Genomic DNA, 11,576 nt, shown 5'->3' on the forward strand with positions numbered 1-11,576 from the left:
TGGATGCTTCCCAGATTACAGAAAATACCTGTCTCACAGGATATGTTTTGAAATGTATAATACAGAAGCAGAGAAAGTTTGTGTGACACAGTAAGAGAATTAATTATGAATTCTGCATTTGGCATGTTGTTCTACAAGTGAAAAATATCAAGAAAGCAGTTGGAGCTTAGAAGAAAGTTCAATACAGGAGGTAAACAGATGGAAGTCAGTTGTAAGTGGGTTTTTAAAACCACACCTGAAATTATATCACAAAAGACAAGAGCATAACAAAAAAGAAAATAGGGTCCAGTTCCAACATTTGATAGTACTTCAATATTTATAGTTCTGCAACCATAAGAGGAACCAAGGGAAGAGAATACAAATCATTACCTCTGGAGCTAGTGCTATGATCTGAATGTGTTCCCTCCAATATTGTCTTAAAATTTAACCCCCAAGGTGATGGTATTAGAATATGGGGCCTTTGGTAGTTGATTAGGTCATTAGGGCTCCAAACTAATGAATGGGAATAATCCCCTTATACAAAAGATGCCAGAGAAATGGATAGCCCTTTCTTCCATAAGGTTACAGTGAAAAGACATACATTTATGAAGAAAGCAGACCATCACCAGACATTGAATCTGCTTGCTCCTCGATGTTGGACTTGCCAACCTCCAGATCTGTAAGAAATAAATTTATGTAATATATAAGCTATCCAGTTTGTAATGCTTTGTTATAGCAACCCAGATGGACTAAGACAGGTAGGAATAAAACAAAAAGAATAGTGACATACAAGACAAGAAGAGATAATTTTTCAGAAAATATTCATTGCGTTGAATAATACTAAGAACACATGATAGGTGAACACAGAGATGTAGTATTTGTGTTTATCAAATTGAAGTCATTGGTAAAGTTGATAAGATCAAATTTGGATGAGTTAGGTAACAGAAGCTCATCTGAGATAGGTGTGACTGTCAAGATTTTATTCTTTCAAAAATTTTGTTGTAAAGATGAGCAAACAGAGAGGTGTGCCTGGACAAAGAAGTGAAGGTTGAGGGATGATTTATTCATGTGTGTGTGTCAGTTTTAAAGAAGACAGTTGTAGCTGATTATAATATGTCACTAGAAAAGGAAAAATTGATAATTCGGATGATTCAATGTGTAATTTCCAGAATAAAATTTGTGAGAAATTAAGAAAGAATGTGATCCAGAATGCAAGAGCCTTTGTTAGCTATGTTCTGTATAGTAGCAATGAAGGAGAAGGGAGTATGGGCTCAGATTCAGAAAACTTGTGAGGTTTAAGAGAAAGAAGGCAAGGATATCCCATCTGATAGCATCTTTTTAAAAAATGCAATATAAAACAAGGCCATTAGCTGACAGGGAGTATGTGTGCAGATATTTCAATACTTTTGTACAGCAAATAAGAAGGCTTTTGATAAAATAGAGAAGTAAAAATGGAATTTGGTGTGCAGCATTATGAATAAACTAGGAAAATCATGGTAAGAAATTATGAACTGCATAGAGTTTCCATAAGGTTTTGTTGTGATTAATTTAAATTGAAGTCACTCATATGTTTTGTAGGTATTTTCTCAAGAAATACTGTTTATCAGATATTTATCTGATAAATATAAACATAATTACTAGATAATGAAATCATGGAAGACCTCATAAAGGAGGTGAAACTTGAGCAAAGTGTTAAAATGCAGGAAAGTTTACTCAGAAGGACAAAGAGGAAGGGAAAAATGTTTGCTAAGGACATAAGCAGTTTAGGAAAAAAATAACAATTTTATATGATAACATCAAAGGCCTATGTGTGGATGAGATAAGAAAGAGGAAAAGTGGAGGCCCAGGAAGCAGTGGGAAAAGTTGTAGCAAATTTCAAGGGTCTAACATATATCATGTTTATGATTCTAAAGTTTATCCTTTAGGTTATAGTAAATCAAAGTATAATTTCAAACAGCTAAACAATATGATCATATAAAATAATTAGGAGCATGATCTTCTAATGATCACAATTCAAATACTCTGTAAATATTTTTTAATATCTCTCAAGTTTATACTAATTTATTTTTCCATCCTTACATACCATATTAAGTACAATGCGCTTCATCTGTAGGTTACTCAACCATGTCTCTTGCTTGGTTGACAGACTGATTTCTAAATATATATATCTTTTCCCCTACATAAGGAAGCAGTTCATATAGTCACTGATCTCTTATTGAAAACCTTTGTGGAAAAAAACCATATAAATAGATACATCTAAATTATTTAAGAATTCTCAATTGCACAACTCTACTATTCTTATCAGTCTATTAAAATTATTTTCTTTCATTTTCAATCAGGATCTATTCATTTTCAAGACAGCACTTCAGAAATTTCCATTATAAGGAAACTACAAACATAGATATTATTGGCATTCTTATTTTACACGGTACTGAGGAGACTTGTCTTTCTCTTCTGATGCCTAATTTTCATAATTTATCTCATTTTATAGCTTTTTATTATATCTATTTCATTTCTGAAGTATTTCTATTTTAATTACTTAAAAATTTCTCTCATCTTCAGAGAATCGACTGCCTGAAAATATTTCAATCAATGGCTTTTCATATACTCTCTATAAAATTTTTATATTTTAATAAACTGATAATCCAATAGTGCATTCTTTTTTTTATAACTCCCCTCTCACTTCACTTCAAACTGCAAATTTAGTATCTAGAACTTTCTGTGAGTCTTCTACTTTCATCAAATATGAAGTCTCTCTCAAGTCTGTATTAAAGTTGTTTTTCCAAGAAATCTTCCCTTTTCTTTCAAAAGTCAAGTTAAATAAAGAACAGTTGGTCGTTATTACCTGATTATTCATTATCTGAGTTCTACAATCATGGCAATGTCTAGGGAAACAAGTCATCACAAAGAAAAATGTAACAGTTAACTGACCTTGTATATATGTTATCCCTCTTTAAACTCTTTTCACCTTAGCATTCCATTCTAATCCTTCCCACTGTGTTATGGTCTATCTGTTTTATATATCTCAAAATTGCAAGTAAATCGATCTCCAAATTTAAATCACACAAAAATAGCAATTCTATAAAGTCCTTAGGAACAAAAAATGTGGAACTAAATTACTGATAAAGAGACTGATAGATAAAGATTTGAAAGAGATAGATGAGTTAAGAACTGAAGGAGAGATAATTGATGAGGATGATGTATTCATTTCCCAGCGCTGACATAACAAAGTACCTACCACACACTGAATGGCTTACGGCATCAAAAACTTATTCCTTCACAGTTCTGAAGGCTAGAAGCCCAAAATTAATGTGTTAGCACTATTGATACCTTCTAGAGACTCAGGAAAAATCTTGTTCCATGCCTCTCTTCTAGTTTCTGGTGGTTTCTGGAAATCTTTGTCATTTTTTGACTTGTAGACTCATCACTCGAATCTGTCTCTGTCTTCACATAGCATTATTTTCTTTATGTATCTATGTATCCAAGTTACATAAAAAAAAATGCTTCATGTATACTACATGTACCTTTAGGTACCTACTTTATCCAAAATTCAGGAAAGATACCTTATGTATCTTTTATGTATCTACATATTCTTTTTTAAAAAAAATTATACTTAAGTTCTGGAATACATGTGCAGAACATGCAGGTTTGTTGCATAGGTACACATGTCCCATGGTGGTTTGCTGTACCTATCAACCTGTAATCTACATTACTTATTTCTTCTAATGCTATCCCTCCCCTTGCTCACCAGCCCCCAACAAGCCCCAGTGTATGATGTTCCCCTCCCTGTGCCCATATGTTCTTATTGTTCAATTCCCACTTATGAGTGAGAAGATGCAGTGTTTGGTTTTCTGTTCCTGTGTTAGTTTGTTGAGAATGATGGTTTACAGCTTCATCCATGTCCCTGCAAAGGACATGAACTCATCCTTTTTCATGGCTGCATAGTATTCCATGGGGTATATGTGCCACATTTTCTTTATCCAGTCTATCATTGATAGGCACTTGGGTTGGTTCCAAGTCTGCTATTGTGAACAGTGCTGCAGTAAACATACATGTGCATGTGTCTTTATAGTAGAATGTTTATAATCCTTTGGGTAAATAACCAGTACTGGGATTGCTGGGTCAAATGGTATTTCTGGTTCTAGATCCTTGAGGAATCACCACACTGTCTTCCACGGTGGTTGAACCAATTTATACTCCCACCAACAGTGTAAAAGCATTCCTATTTCTCCACATCTTCTCCAGCATCTGTTGTTTCTTCACTTTTTAATGATTGCCATTCTAACTGGTATGAGATGGTATCTCATGGTGGTTTTGATTTGCATTTCTCTAATGACCAGTGATTATGAGCTTTTATTCATATGTTTGTTGGCCGCATAAATGTCTTCTTTTGAAAAGTGTCTGTTCATATCCTTTGCCCACTTTTTGATGGGGTTGTTTGTTATTTTCTTGTAAATTTGTTTAAGTTCCTTGTGGATTCTGGATATTAACCCATTGTCAGATGGATAGATTGCAAAAATGTTCTCCCATTCTGTAGGTTGATTGTTTAATCTGGTGATAGTCTCTTGCTGTGCAGAAGCTCTTTTGTTTAATTAGATCCCATTGCCTATTTTGGCTTTTGTTGCCATTGCTTTTGATGTTTTAGTCATGAAGTCTTTGCCAATGCCTGTGTCCTGAATGGTATTGTCTAGGTTTTCTTCTAGGGTTTGTATGGTTTTAGGTCTTACATTTAAATCCTTAATCCGTCTTAAGTTAATTTTTGTATAAGGTGTAAGGAAGGGATCCAGTTTCAGTTTTCTGCATAATGTTAGCCAGTTTTCCCAACACCATTTATTAAATAGGCAATCCTTTCCCCATTGCTTGTTTTTGTCAGGTTTGTCAAAGATCCAATGGTTGTAGATGTGTGGTGTTATTTCTGAGGTCTCTGTTCTGTTCCATTGGCCTATATATCAGTTTTGGTACCACTATGAAGCTGTTTTGGTTACTGTAGCCTTGTAGTGTAGTTTGAAGTCAGGTAGCATGATGCCTCCAGCTTTGTTCCTTTTGCTTAGAATTGTCTTGGCTATACGGGCTCTTTTTTGGTTCCATATGAAATTTAAATTAGTGTTGCTTTTTTTTTTTTTGACTGAGTCTTGCTCTGTTGCCCAGGCTGGAGTGCAGTGGCATGATCTCAGCTCACTGCAACCTCTGACTCCCGGGTTCAAGCAATTCTCTGCCTCAGCCTCCCAAGTAGCTGGGATTACAGGTCCCCACCACCACGCCTGGCCAATTGTTGTATTTTTATTAGGGACGGGGTTTCACCATCTTAGCCAGGCTGGTCTTGAACTCCTGACTTCGTGATCCACCCGCCTCATCCTCCCAAAGTGCTAAGATTACAGGCGTGAGCCACCCATTTGGCCTAAAATATTTTTTTATAATTCTGTGAAGATAGTCAATAGTAGCTTGATGGGAATAGCATTGAATCTATAAATTACCTTGCACAGTATGACCATTTTCACGATATTGATTTTTCGTATCCATGAGCATGGAATGTTCTTCCATTTGTTTGTGTCCTCTCTTACTTCCTTCAGCAGTGGTTTGTAGTTCTTCTATAAGAGGTCCTTCACATTCCTTGTAAGTTGGATTCCTAGGTATTTTATTCTCTTTGTAGCAATTGTGAATGGGAGTTCACTCATAATTTGGCTCTCTGTTTGTCTATTATTGGTGTATAGGAATCCTTGTGATTTTTGCACATTGATTTTATATCCTGAGACTTTGCTGAAGTTGTTTATGAGCTTAAGGAGTTTTGGGGCTGAGACGATGGGATTTTCTAAATATACAATCATGTCATCTGCAAACAGAGATAATTTGGCTTCCTCTCTTCCTATTTGATTACCCTTTATTTCTTGTAAAGACATAAGTCAATGGATTTAGGGCCCACTTTGACATAGTATGACCTCATCTTAACTTTTTTACATCTGCAAAAATCCTATTTCTAAATAAAATCACAGGCACAGACAGTGGTGGGCTGGGAGGTTAGGACTTGGACACATACCTTCCTGGGGTGCGTAGCTCAACAGCTACAGAAAATGATACAAAACTTCAAAAATAACATATAAATATCAAAATATTAAAAGAGGCCTTAGTAAAATTGATAAAACCTTCATATATAGTTTTTGGCAAAAGTAACTAGTATGTTCTACCTATCAGAGTCAAATAGTGATTGGTGTTCTTTTGTACATCCACATAGTTTTGTCAGAAAAATTATGACTCTTCCTCCTGCCCTAAATCAATACTTGTTCTCACTGGTTCTATGAAACATTGCAGTTATGATGATAATTTATTTTGTTAAACAAGAGGTTTTTTAAAGCTCTCTCTCTCTTTTTTTTTTTTTTTTTTTTTGGTTTATTGTTCAATATATAATCCAGTCCTAACCACTTTTTTTTTTTCTTTTTTGAGATAGAGTCTCACTCTGTCACCCAGGCTGGAGTGCAGTGGCACGATCTCAGCTCACTGCAAGCTCCGGCTCACTGCAAGCTCCGCCTCCCGGGTTCACGCCATTCTCCTGCCTCTGCCTCCGGAGTAGCTGGGACTACAGGCACCCGCCACCACACCCGGCTAATTTTTTGTGTTTTTAGTAGAGATGGGGTTTCACAGTGTTAGCCAAGATGGTCTCGATCTCCTGACCTTGTGATCAGCCAGCCTCGGCCCCCCAAAGTGCTGGGATTACAGGCGTGAGCCACCGCGCCCGGCCCTAACCATATAATTTTAGACACATTGTCCCTGCTTGAAACTGGTTAATTTATTGTAATCTCTTTCCGTAATAATTGACCTTATAAAATGAGAATGTTTGTACAGTGAGTGGTATTTTATAAGGTGTTTCCTTTTAAAAGATAGACATATTTTCACAGCCATTTCAATTTGCCTTTTTTTCTGTAAAGGTCTTTTATTTTAACACATTAAGGGTTAGGCTCGTCTGACACTTATAACAGATCTTATCATATCAGCTCTTCTTTAAAGAAATTAATAATTATGTAGGAGTGATATTTATTTCAGTGGATGATACCTTCATTTAAACACTAAAAACTTTAGCAGCATTGAGTTATATTTTACCAAACTTCAGGTTATTGGGTGCTGGAGAAACTGGGACACTTGAAACAAATGTTTTCAAACTTTAAAGGAATCATAAACATATTTGTTTTTGGTGTCATAGTATGTGCGAATGTCTACAAAGGGATATTTGGCAAACATGCTTTCAGCTGACTGGAGTACACCCAGTCTACATCCCTAAATGTTTCCATTTTTATTTCTCCTTTTATTCATTTGTCATGATCAAACTGGTTTGTGTACATGCCTTTTGTGTGTATGCTTCTGATTTCAAATTTACTGTTATCTTCATGTCTCAATTTCAGTGTAGTTTGTGTGTGTTTGTTTTCATAGGAATTTCCTTGTCTTATCTGGCCCTTGTCATTGAGTTAAGGAAGTGAATAAATGTACACAAGAATTTATATTATCTATTTAAAGTTAATATAAACTGCATATAAGTACTGAGATGTACAAAATAAGGAAAAAAATTAATGGAACATTAAGTTAGTCACAAAAATTTTCCAAATTATACATGCTGTGTTAAGCTTTAAAATTACATATTTATGTTTTCTACATAGGGGTCTTGCGTTTCAGAAAGATTTTAAGAGCCCTGAGGGCAGAGGTCTCACCTTCTGGTTCACAAACTTTCACAAAAATACAGGCTACTGTCTTTGTGTGGTGGGTCCTTTCTATTCCTTCCTCTGTGATTTCCCTGTCCAAATACACACTGCCCTATTCTTTTCTTGCATATTCATCTCATGATCATTGCCAAAGCCTTCTCAAACTGGCTAAAATGGCCTTCCTACTCTGTTCAGCATTCTCTCTTCCATCTATTTTGCTAAATTGCAAATTTTTATTCTTTTGAGAAATGTCCTTTAAGTAATTAAAAGGGCAGTAATTTTTTTTTCTAATTTTTAAGTACATAGGTTTCATTTGCTTCTACACTAAACTGTGCTTTTCTTAATGCAGTAAAACATATTCTGGTATAATTTTAAAACTACTTCTGTTTGTAATTTCATTTTATTTATTTAAAAGGGTTATTGGGCCTTCAGATTAGACATCTAACACTGTAAATGTAATGCATCTGAATTTCACTGGGCATTAAAAGAAAACTTTTAATGGTACTTTTTACCCTGTCAAAGGTCTTGTTGATATTTGTATAGTCATGTACATGAATAACACAAAAATATTCTCATTGGAATTTGTAATTGACATAAATAGTCTGATACAAAATAAAGACCCAAAAAAGACATTTAACATTAATATATTATGAAAATAAAAAATTCCTCAGAAAAAATATCTGACTATGGCTTCTTCTGCCTTCTGAGAAGTGGTGATGAGTTGAATGATTACTTATGGAAGAAGATACTGGGTGTCAATCCTTTCTCTTTACAGAGAGCTACAAGAAGGAACTCTAACCTAGAATTTGATATTTTAAATGATATAATTTTTATCCTCAGCAAGTTTTCTCATTGTTAAAACTGTGAGACCCTGTATTGGGGTGTGTGTGTTTGTGTGTGTGTGTGTGTGTGTGTGTGTGTGTATTTTAGACAAAGAAAAAATCAGAGAGGTAATTGTTAATTTGTACTCATGCAACATAAGCTCTGAACCAAGCAAGAGGTAGGAGTTAATGTTCATGTTCATTCAATGAACACTTTATCAAATGAATATTCTTCTCAAGTTAGAGCTGCCCTTAGTTCACTGATTGTTAGAGAATTCATCCTTTCAGGGAGGAGGGGTCTTGCTATCCTTCAGGACACATGTGGCTAGATATGGTGATGAAGGAAAGCAATGGGTACTGAGAGAGGAGATTGGAGCAAGTGCCATCTTGTTTCACAGGGACACACTTATCCAAATAGAGATAACTCAGGTCCTTTTAATCATCACCTTTCATACAATCTTTTTCCCATGGTGTTTTCCTCTTTTCCTTCTCATTCTCCTTCTTCTTGTTCCTCTTCTTCTTCTTTTATTTTATTTTATTTTAGATTCAGGGGGTACACATGAAGGTTTGTTACATGGGTATATTGTGTAACAGTGTTCATGATTTCTTTTTTAGGGCTGTTCTTTACAACCCTGTTAACAACAAATATCCTGCCTAAATGTAATCCACACTCCACGTCTCCCACGGATGTTTTTCCTATCACAGCATTCTGTAGTAAACCATTCTTAGCTCAATGAACTTGGCTTTAGCTGCTCTTTCTCAAAATACTCTTTTGAGGCAAGAAGATGGAGAGAGTAACACATCAAGTTTGATTCTTATTTTTAAAATTTACTTTATTTCAAGGAGCAGGAAAATACACATTCTAATTTCACTGAAGATGAAACCAACTTAGGTATTCTAAAGGTCTGTTAGGCACCTAAAAGCATAAACTGAACAAGAGCAGAAGCTGAAATCATTTCTGGCAGATAGCACATGAGAATCAAGAAAAAATCCATCTTCAACAGTAATGTCAGGGAATGCCTTCTGAATAAAATCTATGGATTCTTCTTATGAGTCATATCTTCATTCTCACCTCTAGAAAGCTGGGCTCTGCCCCTGTCAAGACCCACACTGAAGTGAAATATAATTAGAGGCATACTATCAATATTTCATATACCTTAAACTGTCTGAAGACAAGAGTGTTACAGTCAGAAAGGAATCATTCACTCTTTTAATTTCAGACCCTTTTGCTTCTTTTCTAGGCTTATATGAAAAGGCTCAAAGAAAGAAGGTAGAATCTTTGCATGAACTGAAGCAAACACAACTGTAATATAACCAGCTTCCTGGGATACACAATTGTCATAGACAAGAGAAACCAGAAGAATAACTAGATCACTACAATAGCAACCGGTCAATTTGGACTGACTGTGGGATCAGAGAGCTGATGTACTACAACAGAAGAAGAAATTAAGAACTAGAACTAGTTTCCATCAGCCACTCCAGAGTCAAAACAACGTAATGTAACCACAGGTGTAAAATTCATCATCTTCACAGAACTAAGAATTTTGCAGTATCTGTACACTAAAGGGACAGAATTTCTTTGGGGCTATTGTAGAATTCAGCCTGCCATAATTCACCCTCTGGCCCCAAGGATTCATGTCCCTTCCAAAAGCAAAATACATTCACCCTTTCCTAAAATTTTCAAGGATGTCAGCATCAGCTCAACATCTCAAATATCAGTTTTGGAAGAGGATCCTGGGTGTAATCCATTACAGCTGCTGGAGCAAAATTTCCCTCCAATTTTGCACTTGTGAAACTAAGAGACAAATTATCTGCTCCCCAAAGTCCCAATATTCAATAGTGGGGCAGGCATAAGATAACACTTTTAAGACATTCTGGTTCAAAAAGAGAAATGGGAAGCACAAACGAATAACTGGTCAAAATATTCCTGAAATCAAGTTGAGAAAACAGCGGATTTTTAAAAATTATATTTCAAGATCTGGGAGTAATTTTCTATGGCCCTCTGGGCTCTCAGCTCCACCCTCTGGGCAATTTCTTCTACCCTTAGAACCATTCTTTCTTATTGTAAAAGGTAGTACATGTTTCTAGCAAAGAAGTTTTATCAGCCTGCTTGTTGCCGCTCTCTGGCTCTTGCAGTACAAACTGGCAGTATTTTTGCTGATATGGATTTCCCAAGAACCTGTGATCTTGCACGAATTGTACTTGGTTTCACTCCATTGGACAACAGCCATACCCACAAATCTTTTTGAGATAATCCCTCCTCTATTTCTGGCTCCCGTTGATCTGACTGAGGCACAAAGTCCTTAAGCTTCCTAGTAGTCCTCTAAGCATTTCCTTAATCTATGGAATCTAATCCTAGTAGTCCTCTAAGCATTTTCTTAATCTATGGAAAGAGCCAGTTGTATGACAGAATTTTCTGACCTTTTGAGTATTCTGAGGTTTTGGTCTGAGTTTGTACCACCACACTCTCTGCCTTTTCTCTATGCCACCCTGTCTTTAGTGCTCTCATCTTAGCACCTTTTGTCATGTGAATAGGCTAAAATTATCGAAATTACTTTTTTTATTTTTATTTTTTTGAGACAAAGTCTCACTCTGCTGCCAGGCTGGAGTGCAATGGCGCGATCTCGGCTCACTGCAACCTCCGACTCCCTCATTCAAGCGATTCTCCTGTCTCAGCCTCCTGAGTAGTTAGGATTACAGGCATGCGCCACCACGGTCAGCTTATTTTTTGTATTTTTAGTAGAGAACGGGTTTCATCATGTTGGCCAGGATGGTCTCAATCTCCTGACCTCGTGATCTTTGATTGTAACTTCTTCCTTTATTTTTCTTTTCTTGCATTTTGCTCTAAGCAGCAAGAATAAACCAGTGCTTCCCGTAAACACTTTACTTGGTGGGGGTCGGAGGGGTCCCCTCACCTTTATATCCAAATTAATTGCCCATACATTTTGCTTTCCACAACTTAGGACAACTTCTGCTAAGCTTTCAGTGGCTACATATGAAAAATCTTCCTTTCTCCTGTGTGATAACATGTTGTTGACTTCCTTCTTAGCCCTCCAAGGTAGCCATCCATGTCTGTATTACCCCTAACAAT

At 36.0% G+C, this 11,576-nt stretch overlaps 1 long non-coding RNA gene across 5 annotated transcripts in view; it reads left to right on the top strand.

Annotated features, from left to right (window-relative positions):
* The window catches only part of LOC107986602 (uncharacterized), a 74,122-nt gene extending 63,025 nt beyond the window's left edge, over positions 1 to 11,097 (top strand). For all 5 annotated transcript variants that reach the window (XR_001744151.1, XR_001744155.1, XR_001744152.1 and 2 more), the window contains one exon: positions 9,727 to 11,097. This is a non-coding gene — a long non-coding RNA (uncharacterized LOC107986602). The remainder of the gene's footprint in view (positions 1 to 9,726) is intronic.
* Positions 11,098 to 11,576: the final 479 nt, after the last annotated feature.

Source organism: Homo sapiens, chromosome 6, assembly GCF_000001405.40.
Source record: "Homo sapiens chromosome 6, GRCh38.p14 Primary Assembly".
Lineage (NCBI taxonomy): Eukaryota > Metazoa > Chordata > Mammalia > Primates > Hominidae > Homo > Homo sapiens.